The sequence below is a fragment of the Homo sapiens genome, chromosome 15, assembly GCF_000001405.40.
Source record: "Homo sapiens chromosome 15, GRCh38.p14 Primary Assembly".
Lineage (NCBI taxonomy): Eukaryota > Metazoa > Chordata > Mammalia > Primates > Hominidae > Homo > Homo sapiens.
The window spans coordinates 69,420,089-69,438,097 of record NC_000015.10 but is presented as its reverse complement, the minus strand read 5'-3'; the positions used below and the strand labels follow the sequence as shown (position 1 = coordinate 69,438,097).

Sequence of the window (18,009 nt, the reverse complement as noted above, 5' to 3'; positions counted from 1 at the left end):
TCAGGAGCTTCATTCTCCAGTTGACAAGATATTCACAGAAGCTTTCTGTTAAATGCTGAAAAAATACTCAAGTCTTTCACTGTGCACTATAGCATTCTCTTCCCAATCCTTACAGGTACTTTGCTTCACAACAACAAACGCAAAAATAGAAACAACACTACTATTTGGGATTAATTAAACCTGAGCTGAAATCCTTGGAACATCACTTACTAGTTATGACTTAGGCGAGTTAATTAATATTTCTGGGCAAATTTCATTTCAGTATGGAAATTTAAATACCACTTTATCTCACAACTTTTTGGTAAAGATTCAAATGAATAATGATAATAAAAATAGTAGAGCCAGGCATGGTGGCTCACGTCTGTAATCCCAGCATGTTGGGAGGCCAAGGTGGGTGGATCACGATGTCAGGAGTTTGAGACCAGCCTGACCAACATGGTGAAACCCCGTCTCTACTAAAAATACAAAAATTAGCAGGGCGTGGTGGTGTGCACCTATAATCCCAGCTACTCAGGAGGCTGAGGCAGGAAAATCGCTTGAACCCAGGAGGCGGAGGTTGCAGTGAGCCGAGATTGCGCCATTGCACTCCAACTTGGGCAACAGAGCGAGACTCAGTCTCAAAAAAAAAAAAAAAAAAAAAAGTAGATACATTCATTCACTGAGATACATTCACTATGTACCAGAATTTACTGTTCTACAGGATTTTCATACTTTATCTTATTTATCTTCACAACATATCCTGAGGTAGAAACAATTACAATCCCCACTATGTAGACAGGGGAAACTAAAAAATATTTCTTTGTGTCTCCATCACTGTAAAAAACAAAAGAAAGAACACACGCTCACTTTTTTCTTTTTGACTTCCTTAGAATACAAAAAAGAGCTGTGGAAAAATGCCTTGTCATACTAATCAAACAATGCCTTGAGTGCTTCAAAGTTCTAAAGACACAATTTTCTTTAACTTCCTTAAATATGCAATCTACCATATAACTCAGATTCATTGAAAATACTTTCAATTTCAGAAGTTACAATTATTGCAAATTGGCTGGGAGTGGTGGCTCATGCCTGTAATCCCAGCACTTTAGGAGGCCGAGGCAGGCGGATCACTTGAGGTCAGGAGTTTGAGACCAGCCTGGCCTACATGGCGAAACCCCGTCTCTACTAACAGTACAAAAATTAGCCAGGCGTGGTGGCATGTGCCTGTAGTCCCAGCTACTCGGGAGACTAAGGCAGGAGAATCGCTTGAACCCAGGAGGCGGAGGTTGCAGTGAACCGAGATTGTGCCACTGCACTCCACCCTGGGGTACAGAGTGAAACTATGTCTCAAAAAAAAAAAATAATTAAATAAAATTATTTCAAATAGTTTTGCCCTTACATTGTTTGTTAAACTCATCAATCATCATTTGTCGTAAGTTATGTCGTTTCTCTAAGGCTTCAATCAGCCTTGGAAGTGTCTGCTCATCGTTGATATCCAAAATTTCGCATGATGGCAAAGGTGGAAAACTCTGCAAAACCACGTCAGTAACCAATGGTTCTGTATTGAATTATAGAAAATTACAAAAAGTTACATAGGAGAGAAAGAGCTTATTTAAACAAGTTTAACACTGCATACAGCCCCAGTGCAACTAACCATTGCAATTTCTTGAGCTGACATAAGTTTACTTACCTAAGAATCATAGTATGCAAAATAAGCTCATTTAAATTTTGTTCAAATTATTATGTGCTTGGTTCTTCAGAAGGTATGTAAACATTTCTCTTAAATGAAATAATTTTTTTTAAAAAAGAGAGAAACAGACAGACCAATGAGTGGACAAATGATACAACACCAAATCATACCATTTCCAACTGGACCTCGAGGCTGGTTTCTGTATCTCCTCCCAGGCGTTAAACCACATATTGCCTTGTCTACAGGTCTTGCTACTTCAACTTCTTGAGTCACTTCCGCAAATCTCATGACTTGCTAAAACACAAAACAAATGGAGTTTAAAAAAAAATAAGGATATCCAAGTCCCAGAAATTACTAAATGAAGCAAAGATTGCTTATTTTTATTTATTTGAGACAGTCTGTCACCAGGCTGGAGTGCAGTGGCATGAACACGACTCACTGCAGCTTCGACCTCCCAGGTGGGCCCAATTGATCGTCCCACCTCAGCTTCCCAACATGTTGGGATTATAAGCATAAGCCACCACACCAAGCCTAGTTTACTTCTACAATCAATGGTTCTCTATCCATTTTTAAAATATTCAAAATGTCATTCTGCTCATCCAAGTAACTGTTTTCCCGACAAAAACTCAAGACTTTATAGGACAAATACATTAAAATTACCAAGTTTTCTTCATAATCTTCAGCCTTGGGGTTCACACACACGATCATCCGCACTTTTCCTTCCCCATCAAAGTAGTTCTTGAACAGATGGGTTAACTTTGAATCTCGATATGGAACCATCTACAAAGACATTCATATCCAAATGTGTTACGCAAAAAAAATGCACACAAATGAAACTATACAAAAGAACAGAGAAGGCTGCTGCTTACCTTGTTAGTTCCATACATTTGGTTCTCTCTTAGGACATCCATACATGTTCTTAGCGTCATTAGTGACTGATTAATATTACCTGACAGAAAAAAATACATAGACGCCATTTCAGAACAACAGTATAGTAGCTAAAGTGTGTTCTGTTTGCCTATAAAATCTCAACTTCAAACAACTACTAGATAGAAATTATAAATAACAAATTTTTGTGGCTCAATATAAAGAGCTGTCTATGCATGGTCCAGGCTCTCTTTCAATAGCAGTATTTCTGGGAAGGTTAAACAGCCATCCTTCAGGGATTCTACCAACAGGATTTTCCACAAAATGCAACATTACAGTTAATGACTATAAGGTTTCTTCCAAATCCTAAATTCTCTGAAGGAATATCTTATATAGAGATGTTTAATATCCTCATATTAAAATATATTCTCTAGGCAATTGACAGGAATCATGGCGACCCCCAGGCCACCGTCCCGCTTCTGGGGGTGGGGGAAGAATATCGTCTGTGTGGGGAGGAACTATGGGGACCACACCAGGGAGATGCCAACGCGGTGTTGAGCGAGTCCGTGCTGTTTCTGAAGCTGTCCACGGCCTACACACCTGAGGGCTCGCCCATCCTCATGCCCGCGTACAGCTGCAACCTGCACCACGAGCTGGAGCTGGGCATGGTGATGGGCAAGCATGGCCGCGCAGCTATGGACTACGTGAGCAGCTATGCCCTGTGCCTGGACATTACTGCCAGGGACGTGCAGGATGAGTGCAAGAAGAAGGGGCTGCCTTGGACTCTGGCCAAGAGCTTTATGGCCTCCTGCCCAGTCAGCGCGTTCGTGCCCAAGGAGAAGATCCCTGATCCTCCCAATCTGAGGCTCTGGCTCAAGGTCAACGGCGAACTCAAGACAGGAGGGTGAGACATCCTCCATGACTTTTTCCATCCCCTACATCATCAACTATGTTTCTAAGATCATGACCTTGGAAGAAGGAGATGTTATCTTGACCAGGACAACAAAGGGAGTTGAACCAGTTAAAGAAAACTATGAGATCCAGGCTGGCATACACGGCGTGGTCAGTATGAGATTGAAGGTGGAAAGGCCAGAATATTGAGGCATCTCTTAACAAGTTTCAGGGAGAAGGGAGAAAGACAAAAGCAAGCAACGGCTATTAAATGTCGCAATCCTTTAATAAGAAACCAATTATTTAAAAAAAAGATTAGATTGCTGTGGCTCAACTCAAAGAAGATGGATTCTTCAAGAAAACATGAACTAGAAGGGATGGACCAGAAATTTAAAAAGCCAAAGTAAAGTACTTCTGGTGCTTCGGAAAAATTTTATCAAACCAAATGTTCTAGAGTTTTCTTTCATAAAACTGGATTGGAGAAGACTTTTCAGTGGGTTATCTCTAGGATGATCAGTCGTTCAAGACTTAAAAACTGCAGGGAAAACTGAAAGTTATGTTCCAGATCAGTGTTTCCCAAATTTCCTTGGATTTGGTCATCATCAGGAAGCATTTGTAAAAATAAAAATTTCCAAACTACTGTGGCCCATCCCAGAGCCACTAAATCAATTTGATGGGATTAATCTCCAGTGAAGCTGTGTTTACAGAGTACTCCAAATGATTCTTATCAGGGAAATGTGGAAAAACACTGCTGTACATAATCAATTAATTTAAATTTTTACTTAATAAGTGAACAATTAATGAAGATTTCACCTGTTTACTTAGGGTGTCTACCCTGACCCATCGATTCTGAGTTCAGGAGATGATTTTGAAATTATTGTTTTCCAAATAAGTGTGCTGCTACCTTTTATGTGGCTAAAAAATAAAAATAATAAAATAAAATAAAAAATAAATAAATAAAATATATTCTCTAAGGCAGCAGATCCCCAAACTTTCTGGCATCAGGGACCAGTTTCATGGAAGACAATTTTTACACAGATGGGTTGAGGCTTGAGGGGTGTGGTTTGGGATGAAATCATTCCAGCTCAGATAATCAGGCATTAGATTCTCATAAGAAGCATGCAAGAGTCTGAAGCTCTTGCTGCATCTAGAGGGGCTCTCCTGTTGTTTCTAACAGTCAAGTGTCTTCAGAATCAGCTAACTCTGTCCCCTCTACATCTCAGCAAGGATTTCTTAGGTGGCATACTTGTTACTTCTGACCACTCTTATTTGGATTTCTGAGCCAAGGCAAGTCTAACAGTCTAATCAAGCTTTCAAGAATGCAGCTCTCATCTGATTAGACCCCATAAGAATGAGTTCATTTTGAAACCTTGATTGAGGTCAGCTAACTCGATTATGCTTTCACCCTTGGCCTCCTTGGAGGATCTTGGATACACCTCCCAAAATACAGAACTCATCTGTACCTCTGTAATATTCCATGATTCATGATTTACGTTCCTTGACCCAAACTCCTAATGTTCTTTCTTCTTCCACTGTGCTCTCAGGAACTCATGTTATTAACAGATTTCCCTGCATCTTCAAATCTCTCACAAAATAATCCATTGATAGCTTTCCCTAGTGGTCAGGGGTTCTTAACCTGAGGTCTATATTGTCCGGGGGAACATGATGGGGTGTCTGCATACTTAGATGGAAAATAAATTACATTATTTACTTTTTACCAAACCAACTGGAATTCACTAGTTCCTTCAATTATGAATGCAGGCCAAAAACCACAGCATTAGTAGTACCTGTAATTGGTATCAATACAAATCACAGATATTTTTATAGCATGTTACAGTTTGTTGCTCATCAAGATATTTATGTTCATCATTACACTGCATTTATTTAATCAGACCTGCTGCTGTGTCTTTAAGGTATTAATAAAGAAGCACATAATTACTGTATGACAAACTTAAGAATACTTTTAAAACACATTTCAATGCAATTGGTTTCCTCTGTAATCCTCTCTGTGTTATACCTTCAGAAATACTATACCAGGAAGGGTCCATAGGCTTCACCCTACATCCATGGCACACAGCCCTGCAACCTAACCATTTATCTCTTGCTGCAGCCCTGTAGCCTTTTGGAGTAAAAAAAAAAAAGCTACTTGTTTTCTAAAGGCTGACATTCTACAAGTATGGTAAACAGAGGGAGAGGCTAGCAACATTTTCCTAGTTCCTCCTTATTGCCTTGAAATATTCCTCCTACATGCCAGTCCCTGGTTTATTTCGGTGTCCATGAGAACAACAATCATTCTCATATGCTGTAGTCACAGGGTCCCAATGTCCCAGCTCCAGTAAATCTTTATCTCTATTCCATTACAGCTGACAGCCCAAACCCTATCCCTCAGAAGTGTACCACTTCTAAAAACCTGGAGCCTCTGCCATATGCCCCAACTACAATCTCCTTTTCTCTCTCACTCCCTAACTCTATATTAACACTAACAGTCCTTTCTAGCTTTTCCCCAAAGCATCCAAAACTTCAAGTTTTTACTTTCTTCCCAAACCAGCTCTTGTCCCATCAAAGTTAATCCTTCCTCTTGGATCTAGATTCAGATTTTCCTGCCTCTTCCAGGATCTTGCTCCGCCAATAATCACCACTTTATTATGAACACCTAGTAGGTAAGCTGCACTGGGTAGACATTGACAGACAGCACACACACAGTCCACTCTCATGAAATTCAAATGATTCAGACAAATTGCAAGAGTCCTTTGGGCCAGGGTAGAGGCAGCTCTAAAGGCCCCATTTCTCACCACTGGACTTAAACATCATCTCTTCAGCATATGAATAAACTCAAGTCTTTACTATCTTCTAATGTACATATATAATGTGTGTGTGTATTTTTTCATCATTTCATAATCCCTCAAATCCCTTTTAGCTATCACCCTTCTCTGTCCATCCCAAGCTAATAATCAAGGGCTTGCTGTTCCTCAAGCTTCTGCTCTCAGCTTGTTCCTCTCCATTCGCTATGAATTATCTTATCTCACCCAATTGCTTCAATCATTTCTTTTTTTTTTTTTTGAGACGGAGTCTCGCTCTGTCGCCCAGGCTGGAGTGCAATGGCGCGATCTCGGCTCACTGCAAGCTCTGCTTCACGGGTTCACGCCATTCTCCTGCCTCAGGCTCCCGAGTAGCTGGGACTACAGGCGCCCACCACCACGCCCAGCTAATTTTTTTGTATTTTTAGTAGAGATGGGGTTTCACCCTGTTAGCCAGGATGGTCTCGATCCCCTGACCTCGTGATCCGCCTGCCTTGGCCTCCCAAAGTGCTGGGATTACAGGCGTGAGCCACTGCATCCAGCCAATCATTTCTCTATTGGCAAAGCCTAAACCTATAAACCTCAAGTCAAAATCTCTCTCCTTCCAAATCCATGTACCTCTGCATCCAATTACAAGGCACTTTCACTTGCATAAATTGAACATTTCAAATACAACTCATTACCTGCCTATACCTGCTCCTAAAACTGCTTCTCCTCAATCAAACACCTCCTTATTCTCCACATCCTAACTAGCTCTCAGTGTTGTCTGACCTTTGCCTCCAGGTCACACAATTGCTTACCTGAATTGGGGCAAAAGGCTCCTAACTGCTCTTTCATGTATTTAGGCTCGCTCCTGGTAAATTATTTCTCTACACTGGCAAAATGATCTTTCTAAAAGACTAATCCTTCTTTAAGGGGAGGCTGTATGACATAGTATAAAGACACAAGCTATGAGAGTCCAACCAATCTGGCTCCAGCCTTGAGAAAATTAACCTTCCCAAACCTATTTCCTCATCTGAAAAATGGGTGTGATACAATCCTACCTATCTAGTGTGTGGATACTATCATACACACTAGACCCTTAATAGTTGGCAGCTAACATTATTCCTTCAAGATAAAATTCAAACTTCTTGATATGACAGACAGGGGTCTTCATGACCTTGCCTTGCTCTCCTGCCTCAGTTCTCATAGTTCACCAACTTACATCCTCTACTTCAGCTACTTTGACTCTGCCATAGTATCTCAGGACCAAGCAACTGCCTCCTGGGACAGGAACGTTGCCTTTAATCCTATCCTGCTTCATACAGCTCACTCCTACTCAATTTTTCACCTTCCCACTCCCAGATTGGTTTAGGCAGCCCTACCCTGCACTCCCATCATACTCTACTCAAACAATCTAGTTTATCTACTGATCTCCTCTATTAGGATGGGCTCGCTCCAGCAGAGAGAATTAATGGGAATTAATTTGTGTTTAATTCCTGGCACATAGTAGGTACTCAATACATGTTTATTAACATAAAACACAACATGCAAGGTGACAGAAAACCCAATTACACTGATTGATCACACTGCATACATCTATCAAAATATAACATATACCCAAAAAGTACGTACAACTATGATATATTAATTTTTAAAAAACTACAAAAAGGTAACAGGACATAACATGCATGAATTTTAAAAAACACATATACAGATTGGCTATATATATATTTAAAGCCTTCAATTGGCTTGTGTTCAGAATTTTCCCATCTCTAGAAGCCAATTTTTACCACTAATAAGTATTGAAATAACATTTCAAGGACCCAATTCTGACCTACAACACTAAAAATAGAGTCCTTTTTTGTTGTTGTTGTTGTTTTTGAGACAGGTTCTCTGTTGCCCAGGCTGGAGTACAGTGGTGAGATCAGGGATTGCTGCAGTCTTGACCTCCAGGGCTCAAGCAATTCTCCCACCTCAGCCTCCAAGTACCTTGGAACTATAGACGCACCACGCCCAGCTAATTTTTTGTATTTTTTGTAGAGATGGGGTTTCATCATGTTGCCAAGGCTGGTCTTGAACTCCTGGGCTCAAGTGATCCACATGCCTTGGCCTCCCAAATTGCCAGGATTACAGGTGTGAGCCACCGCACCCAGACTAATTGAATACAACTTTCCTCATTCTTAAAGAAATCAGTGTATTGTAATAGATTAATACCAAACCAGCCTAACTATAAACTTAGCCTCTAAATTATCTAATGGAGGACAATTGTGCTTAAACCACCCATCGAGGCCGGTTACAGTGGCTCATTCCTGTAATCCCAAGACTTTGGGGCGGCCAAGGTGAGAGATTACTAGAGCCCAGGAATTTGAGACCAGCCTGGGCAACATAAGGAGACCCCACCTCTACAAAAAATTTTTAAAAATTAGACAGGCATGGTGGTGCATACCTGTAGTCCCATCTACTCAGAAGGTTACAATGGGAGAATCAATTGAGCCCAGGAGTTTGAGGCTGCAATGAGCCATGATCACACCACTGCATTCCATCCTGGGTAACAGAGTAAGACCGTCTCAATAAAATAAAAATTAAAAAACAAAGAACCACCCATTGATAAGTAGATAATAAACTGGCATTGCAAGTTTCTGAAAGTTGTAGCAATAAATAAATACCATGCTTTACTCACCAGCTTCACGTAATCTGTTCCCTTCTGCTCTGGTCCGGTTAGTTCTTTCACTTCCAGCAAGATCTACCAAGGACAACTGACTTATAGTGATTTGTTCTTTTTCCTAAAAAGATCACAAAGCCAATAACTTAAAATGGGTTATAACTGGTTTATAATGTTCTTTAAATAGATTCATATCAACAAGCTAAGTCTTAATGAACATTTGCACAGTACAAAATGCACAGGACAGGCAAAGGATACCTATTTTAGGGGAGAGTTTGCTAGAAGAGTATGATAAATATACTCATGACATTAATGATTACTTGTCAATTGGCTGGTCTTCCTTCTGCATCAGACAGTAAGCCCCCTGAGAGCAGGGACTCTGTCTTTTACTACCTTATCACCAGCATGCTGCACAGTGCCTACCACTGAGTAGGAACTCAGCAGATATTTGCTGAATAAGAGTCTAGAACAGGATTATCCTAAATTCTTCTATAATCAGATATTTAATAATCTTATAATTTCATAATGCTATAAATAATTCTTTTGTTTTTTTTTTTTTTTTTTTTTTTTTGGGAGACAGAGTCTCGCTCTACCTCCCGGCTGGATTGCAGTGGCGCCATCTCTGCTCACTACAACCTCCCCCTCCTGGGTTCAAGCGGTTCTCTTGCCTCAGCCTTCCGAGTAACTGGGATTACAGGCGTGTGCCACCATGCCCAGCTCATTTTTTTTGTATTTTTGGTAGAGACAGGGTTTCACCATGTGGACCAGGCTGGTCTCGAACTCCTGACCTCAGTTGATCCGCCCGCCTCAGCCTCCCAAAGTGCTTGGGATTACAGGGGTGAGCCACCACGCCCAGCAAATAATTCTTATAAAAAGAAGTGAAAGTCAAGTGGTACCGAACTAATGCTGTAATATTAGATGTGATTCAATGGAAATCAGGTGCATATGGAAGGCTGACTTATAACCATTTTTTTTTTTTAGACAGAGTCTCACTCTGTCGCCAGGCTGGAGTGCAGTGGCGCAATCTTGGCTCACTACAACCTCCACCTCCCTGGTTCAAACAATTCTCCTGCCTCAGTCCCGAGTAGCTGGGACTACAGGCATGCGCCACTATGCCCTGCTAATTTTTGTATTTTTAGTAGAGACGGGGTTTCGCCATGTTGGCCAGGATGGTCTCAATCTCCCGACCTCATGATCCACCCGTCTTGGCCTCCCAAAGTGCTGGGATTACAGGCGTGAGTCACTGCGCCTGGCCCTTATAACTATTTTCTAGCTAACGGTTATTGAGGGCTGACTATAAGCTAAGCACTGGACTAAGAACTTTACACGCATTACCTCCTTTAATTCTCACAACCTTATAAGGAGGTTTTATTATAGCTAGTCGGTAAATAAATAGAAATGAGCATTCAAATCCTGGAGGTCTTCAATACCACTCCTGCCACTTATAAATCTTCATAATGCCACAATTTCATGATACAGTTTGAATAAAATTACACTTTAATGGATTACAGTTATTAGATTATGTATACTCAGACTCAAATGCTGTTACTAATTGACACAAGCCTTGTACTGTGGCAGGCCAGGCAGTAAATAGTGATCTGCATATGGGGGACCCTACTGGCCTATCGACCAAGAGATGAACAACTTATAACACTAGCCACTTCCTAAACTATACCTACCCTGAAAAATGAATTACTGACATTTTAAAACCACTAACTGAATTTCCACTTACAGAAGGAGTCGCCAGAGAGAAAAAATCACAGTCTTATTTTATCACTTCTACCAAAGGGATTTTTAAAGATTTGCAAACTTTTTTCACAGCAAAATTCAGGCTCTAAGATTCGATATCCAGCTTCCCAAAACTATAATAATGGGGAAAAAAAAGTTTTAATGTCATCGCCTACATACAGAGTCATCCCTTGGTGTCCTCGAGGGATTAGTTGTAGGATCTCCTATGGATACTAAATTTCACAGATACCAAATTCCATGGATGCTCAAATCTTGTGTATAAAATGGTGTAGTATTTTCATATGACCTATGCACATCCTCCCATACACTTTTTAAAGTTCTATTTTTTTATTTTTTTATTTTTTAGCCTTATTTTATTTTTTTGCAAAGACAAGAGTCTTGTTTTGTTGTCCAGGCTGGTCTCAAACTCCTGGCCTCAAGTGATCCTCCTGCCTTGGCCTCCCAAAGCACTGGGATTACAGGCATGAGCCACGCACGCACCCAGCCCTCCTGTATATTTTAAATCATATTTAGAGTACTTATAATATCTAATACAATGTAAACACTATGTAACAAGTTGTTATACTGTATTGTTTAAGGAATAATGACCAAAAAAAGTCTGTACATGGTCAGCACAAATGCAGCATTTTATTTTCGAATATTTTCAATCCACAGTTGGTTGAATCTATAGATGTAGAACTCACAGATACAGAGAACCAACTGTATATTTATTCTAGAGCAATCTTCATTGCAATAAAACCTCTCTAATTTAACTTTTTTTTTCAAGACAGGGTCTCACTCTGTCACCCAGGCTGGACTACAGTGGCGCGATCTCAGTTCACTGTACCTCTGCCTCCCAGGTTCAAGCGATCCTCCTGCCTCAGGTACACAAGTAGCTGGGATTACAGGAGTGGTGCATCACCATGCCTGGCTGATTTTTCCAATTTTACTCGAGACAGGTTTTTGCCATGTTGGCTGGATTACTCTAATTCCAAAAATTAAGGATAGAGTTAGAACCAGAAAAACTCCACATACTACAACTTTACCTGTAAGACATTGTCTCCATCTGCATCCAAGGGAGCCTGAACTAATTTAATGTTGAACACGCTATGGGAACGGCTGGACTCACGATTCAAATGGGTATTAGCAATACGTCTCTTTTTCTGGCCTAGGACAACAGAGAAATCATTGGTCAAACCTGAACTCAGTCATTTCATTATACATGCTTTCTAATAAGTCAAAAAAAATTGCCATCAAACTTAGTAGCAACTCTAGGTGATATTCATCATTCTGTATTTTTCTAGTTCTAGGTGTTTCTAACCTCTCCAGAAAACTTCAAAAGCCTCCTCAGTAGATTTCACTTCAACTTCTGTACATCCTGCAACATACATGTTATGGTTCTTATCTTCACGAAGCAATTTAGATTGTGGAGGTCTATGGGAAAGAAAAAAAAGATTAGTCTCCTAAATTATGAGATGCTGGTATCTTCATTTAAGACTAGGACTAAAACGCCAAGTGACATGACATGTTATTCTTCTAATGAAAATTATATATATTTTATAATATATATATAACGTATAATACTCCAGAGAAATATTAAACTTAGATAAGATTGTAAAGCTAAATAGTCAAGATTAGTTAAGTAACAAGATAACAGAAACCAATTTTGTTTTAAAAGCTTTGCTCTAATTTGCTCTAAGAAAGCACATGAAACAATACACTAAACAATTTAGAGACCAAAGTAGTATTACAGCAACATCACATGCACAGGTTAAGCATCAAAATCTAGTATTTTCCTAATTTGAAAAGACTAGCAGATAGAACCAGTTCTGACCTCCTCAGCAACAGCAGAAAACAAATTCAGAAAGAGTTTGGTATATACCAGGAGTGGCAATCCTTTCAAAGTGGCTTATGAAGTTTTAGTCTGTATGACAAGATGAAGGTTGGGTATGAGAGCTACCTGTTTGGTCTTAAGTCTTGTGAATGGTGAGGGTAGAGACATTTACCAGCCACCATCACTGATAGTCAATAGCAGATTTTTCAGGAAGCAAGGAGGGCTTAGAGACAGCAGCCAGCCCAGTGACAATGGAAAATAACCTACATGCAAACATGCCACAGAATGCCAACCATAGTATAACTGCACCCTTCTCCTTAAGAAAAGAGCCAACACCATCACATACACAAAATCTGTGTTCCTCATGGGTGTGCTGCAACTGTTCCACCTACCAAAGGAATAAGGTAGAAGTTACTGTTTCTACAGCAGCCATCTCACACCAACATGTTCAGTCCAGACTATGTGACAATCACAATGAGTCATATCTTAAAAACCCTCCACTTGTAATAGTTTTTCATTGTATTAAAAGTACTAAAAGTTAACTAGCTTAAAAAAGCAGGTCTAACACCAACCTAACAAATTAAATCTGAATTCAGGGCCAAACAAGCACCCTTGTATGTTCATTTAAGGAGTTACCCAGAAAGGTTACAAAGCACACAAGGTACTTTTGTCAATCTTCTTTTGTATAACTAAATAAAGCCAAGATATGATCCTTTGAAAATAATCTCATTTAGAACAAACCAAACAAAAAGTTGGCACACGAGCATACATGAAAATGGGTATACTCAAGATTAGAGTCAAGACAGTTGACACTTTAAAACAAATGGGAAAGTAATTAGTTTGATATAAAAAGTGATGGTCAGGCCAGGCATGGTGGCTCACACTTGTAATCCCAGCACTTTGGGAGACCAAGGTGGGAGGACTGCTTGAGGCCAGGAGTTCGAGACCAACCTGGGCAACCTAGTGAGACCCCTATCACTCCTATCTCTACAAGAAATTAGAAAATTAGCCAGGCATGGTGGCTTGTGCTTGTAGTTCCAGCTACTTAGGAGGCTAAGGCGGGAGGATCACCTGAACCCAGGAGGTTGGCTGCAGTGAGCTGACATGGCAGAGCAAGACCCTGTCTCAAAAATAAATAAAAAGTAACTGTCTCACAAGGTTTTAACTCTTCCATGTATTGCTCCACAACCTAACCCAAGTATTTTTACTATTACCAACATTCCAAGGGTAAATATAGATAGGTCACTCCAGAAATAAGTCCCTTTGTAAAGTTCTCACTTGAAGAAATGTTAAACAGAGCCAAAGAGTCTTCCTTGGCATAAACTCTTAGTATTAAGAGTGTTAATATTTTTACATTTAGCTTACTTAGCCATATTGTAATTGTTTTCCCAATAAACGTGATGAAAATTCAAGGACTCTGGTGAAGATAACTGTATCAAAATGTGACTCACTAAGAACCACAGAAATGCTTGTATCAAGTATGGCCTCAACCAGAGTCCATAAATTCTTCATGTAATTAAAAGTGGATATACTGGTATGTATTCTCAGTCTAATGATTTTCTAAATCCAGCTGTTTCTCCAATAATGTTCCCTTAGATATACAAAGTTAAATATAAGCCACAGGTCTTCGTATTATTTATGTCCTGAGAGGCCCTAATAAAGACAGCATTAAAGACAAGCCTTTAGCTGAAAAACAAAACCATCAACTCAGGAACAAGATACTAATATTAAACATAAGATCCCAGGGTCAACTCTGGCACAAATGCAGATTTATCATTTGTGATGCCAAGTGGTAACCAGTCTTACGTCTCAGAAAGGCAAGACCCAAGGAAATCTAGGAAGTAGTATTTCAACTCTGATGGAATTACAGTGCAGATATCATACCATATTAATGAATGATAGAAGATATGTAAGTATTACTTGTATAGATAACAGCTTTAGGCTCCAGTCTGTAGAAATCACCAAGACACGGGTGGTTAAAGAGCCTACAAAACTCCTTTTACTGTCTCAGGTTCTTGAAACGTTCTTAATTATATAATTAAGATCCTTCTCAAAACATAGCCCAGGGCCCAGAGTTTTCAAAAGTAATCTCCAAGATGAATATTTGGGTCCCTCTTCTCCTTAGATGCTTTAACCCACTAGTTCCCTAATACAGGTACATATCTAGTTAATAATAAACATACTCAAACACAAAACCACGTGATATACAAATTATATCATTTCATTCTGAAAACAAATGCAAGCATTATTCTCTTTCATAACTGAAGAAACTAAAACTCCTTGAGGCAAAGTAACTTCCCCAACATTAACAGCTAAGAAGGGGCTCTCTTTATTACTTACTTGGGTTTTATGGGATCAAACGGCACCTCTTCCAATAGATCATATATGTAATTATTATATATTTCAATATAAGAGACAAATACACCATAGACACTATCTTCATCAACCTCTTCTGCTTTGCAGAATTCTTGTACAGTTATCATATCTGCAAACTCTGGATCTACTTGTCGTCTAAAAAAAGAAAAGTTCAATTGTATACGTTATAAGTCCATTTTAAAAGTAAATGATCCCAGCCGGGCATGGTGGCTCACAGCTATAATCCCAGCACTTTGGGAGGCCGAGGCAGGCGGATCACCTGAGATCAGGAACTCAAGACCAGCCTGGCCAACATGGTGAAACCCCGTCTCTACTAAAAATACAAATTAGCCGGGCATGGTGGCGTGTGCCTCTAATCCCAGCTACTAGGGGGGCTGAGGCAGGAGGATCGTTTGAACCTGGAAGGCAGAGGTTGCAGTGAGCCGAGATCATGCCACTGCACTCCACCCTGGGCAGCAAAGTGAGACTCTGTCTCAAAAAAAAAAAAAAGTAACTGATCCCAAGGGGAAACTAACAGATAAAATAAATATCTGCAATTACAAGCAGAAATGCACAAAGCAGCTTTATTCATACTCATGGTTTGCCAACAGTATTCCCACGTCCTCCCGAACACACAACAATGGCTTTTATACCCTCTCCCCATCCAGAGTGGCACCCTCTTAAAACAGTGATTGAAACAAAATGTGCTCAAAGCCAAAGAGAAAACATCTGAGCAAAGAACTTAAGAACATTCCTTAACTTTAATCTCACAAAAGTCAACTTCTCTATTTAATGTTCACCATTCCTCATGTCTGGGCAAACCACAGGAAAGAATCCTGTGCCCCTAGGCCAGTGCTGCAGACAAATATAATTACTTACTTGCTAGAAGAAGTCTTTGGATTGGGCATAGCTTCTCTTTTCTGACGTTCTAATAAGGCATCAACCTCACACTGTATATCCATACTATTCCTATCATTAGATTTGAAAACCTGAAGTGGGGGCAAAAAAAAAAAAATCACACCACGTTTTTTAGAATTTAACTTAAATAGTAAGAAATATGTTTAAAAACTAAGGAACAGTTAAGGTTTCAAAATGAATCCAGTGCTTTGGTTCTTCTTTACTACTACTGTATCCATAGGTGTCTTAGTCCAGTAAGATAGTCACAACACAAAAGAATCATACTTACATATCGTTTAGCTTGAAATGACCCTATACTGTTAAAGATCATGTCCAAACAACGAGGAAGCAGCCCTCCTTCCCCTGGAGAACCAGTCATTGTGTGAGTTTTTCCACTTCCCGTCACACCATATGTAAAAAGAAGACCTACAGTGTAGCAAGTCACAATGAGTTATATCTTAGAAGTTCTCCACTTAGAGTATTTCTTCACTGCATTAGAAAACACTAACAATTAGCCAGCTCAAAAAAGGCAAGTTTAGCACCACCCTAACAAATTAAATATGGATTCAACACCAAACATAAATCAAATATATAAATATCAAAAAAGTTTTATCAGAAGAGGAGAAAAAGGAAAATCTAACAAAACTCCAAGAGTCATATCATACCATTTTTGCCATGAATGAGGTCATTGACCAAGGGATTAGCCACAACATCAAAGAGTTCCTTCTGGGTGGTGTGAGTGCCAAATACTTGTTTAAATGAATACTGAGTCTGTGGAGAGAGAAAAAAATGCACTAAATAGAATTCCACTATTATCTAGGCTAAAAATACATCTCCTTAAACTTAAGGTGTTTATGACATTTAAGATCTAAGCATGCAAAGAAAAAATATAAATGGTCTTTTTACAGTTGGAACCCTTAGTTATTTAGTTACTAAAAAGTCATGACATACCTATATCATACCAATTATAAACTGGTAAACGTTTTCAGTCACAACTACTAAAGAAAATGTAGAAAACTCTTTTTTTTTGAGACAGAGTTTTGCTCTTGTTGCCCAGGCTGGAGTGCAATGACACAATCTCGGCTCACTGCAACCTCTGCCTCCTGGGTTCAAGCGATTCCCCTGCCTCAGCCTCCCAAGTAGCTGGAATTACAGGCACGTGCCACCACACCTGGCTAATTTTTATATTTTTAGTAGAGACGGGTTTCACCATGTTAGGCTGGTGTCAAACTCCTGATCTTAGGTGATCCACCCACCTCAGCCTTCCAAAGTGCTGGGATTACAGGCGTGAGCCACCACACCTGGCCAAAAATGTAGAAAAGTCTTAAGTCTACTAATGCTTCTAATCTAAGGCTGATTTTGTTTTAATTAAGTGACAGAGATCAAAAGGTATTGTAACGATTCATAGTCACAGATTTGTGGAAATCTACAAGCATTATGTCATACACAACTTTACTGTTTCCTAGTTTTTCTTTATAAAGGTGTCATTTAAAATAGCAAAGCATGGGCATAGTGGCTCACACTTATAATCCCACTTTGGAAGGCTGAGGCAGGAGGATCACTTGAGGCCATGAGTTAAGAGACCAGCCTGGGCAAGCTCATCTAATAAAAAATTTTAAAAGTAAAAACAACAAAAAAACCTCACCAAAAAACAGTGAGCTGTGGTCACACCATTGCACACCAGCCTGGGCAACAAGTGAGACCCTGTCTCAAAAAAGAAAAAGAAAAAAGACATATAAAATAAAATGGCATAGCAGCATAATACCACGTTTTGATGTACTATAGTTTAAAACCAGAAGTAAACTGTAAATATTATCTCATCTCTGAGTTCTTACATGAAATACATTTTAAATAAATTGTGACCTTTAAGAAAGCAAGAATACTTCAATTATCAAGGCTCTCTAAATACAATTAATAAAATATCCTGTAAAAATCAGCTTTAGAGTTCAAAAAGAACAAAGAATCTTGGAACTGAAAGGATACACATAGGCTAATACTGAGAAGATAGATGACCTCACAGTCCTCATGAATGACTCCCTCCTTTCAAGGTAAAGAAAACTGAGGCCCGAAGGTGAAACTTCTCTGAGCCCATGGAGTTAATTAGTATCAAAGCCATCATCAGTGCAATGTTTTTGTTTTCTTCTTTTTTTTTTTGAAACAGAGTCTCACTCTGTCACCCAGGCTGGAGTGCAGTGGTAGGATCTCGGCTCACTGCAACCTCTGCCTCCTGGGTTCAAGCAATACTCCTGCCTCAGCCTCCCGAGTAGCTGTGATTACAGGCGCATGCCTCCACGCTGGGTAATTTTTGTATTTTTAGTAGTGATGGGGT

The 18,009-nt window shown here is 39.6% G+C and overlaps 1 protein-coding gene and 1 pseudogene across 18 annotated transcripts in view; one reads left to right on the top strand and one right to left on the bottom strand.

The window, feature by feature from the left end:
- Nucleotides 1-18,009, bottom strand: part of KIF23 (kinesin family member 23) — a 34,079-nt gene that overhangs the window by 10,330 nt on the left and 5,740 nt on the right. For 6 of the 18 annotated variants that reach the window (XM_005254797.4, XM_005254798.4, XM_005254799.4 and 3 more), the window contains exons 4-15: nt 16,346-16,451; nt 15,970-16,106; nt 15,663-15,772; nt 14,769-14,939; nt 12,775-12,816; nt 11,916-12,028; nt 11,641-11,762; nt 8,885-8,987; nt 2,536-2,615; nt 2,327-2,446; nt 1,837-1,960; nt 1,376-1,534 (exon numbers count right to left, since the gene is read on the bottom strand). In XM_005254797.4, coding sequence (XP_005254854.1) covers nt 1,376-1,534; nt 1,837-1,960; nt 2,327-2,446; nt 2,536-2,615; nt 8,885-8,987; nt 11,641-11,762; nt 11,916-12,028; nt 12,775-12,816; nt 14,769-14,939; nt 15,663-15,772; nt 15,970-16,106; nt 16,346-16,451 — 1,387 coding nt within the window. Of the gene's footprint in view, nt 1-1,375; nt 1,535-1,836; nt 1,961-2,326; nt 2,447-2,535; nt 2,616-8,884; nt 8,988-11,441; nt 11,763-11,915; nt 12,029-12,774; nt 12,817-14,768; nt 14,940-15,662; nt 15,773-15,969; nt 16,107-16,345; nt 16,452-18,009 lie in introns of all 18 variants that reach the window. The other 12 variants (NM_138555.4, NM_001367804.2, XM_047433367.1 and 9 more) reach the window with 4 other exon arrangements.
- Nucleotides 2,969-3,826, top strand: LOC100421811 (fumarylacetoacetate hydrolase domain containing 1 pseudogene; annotated as a pseudogene).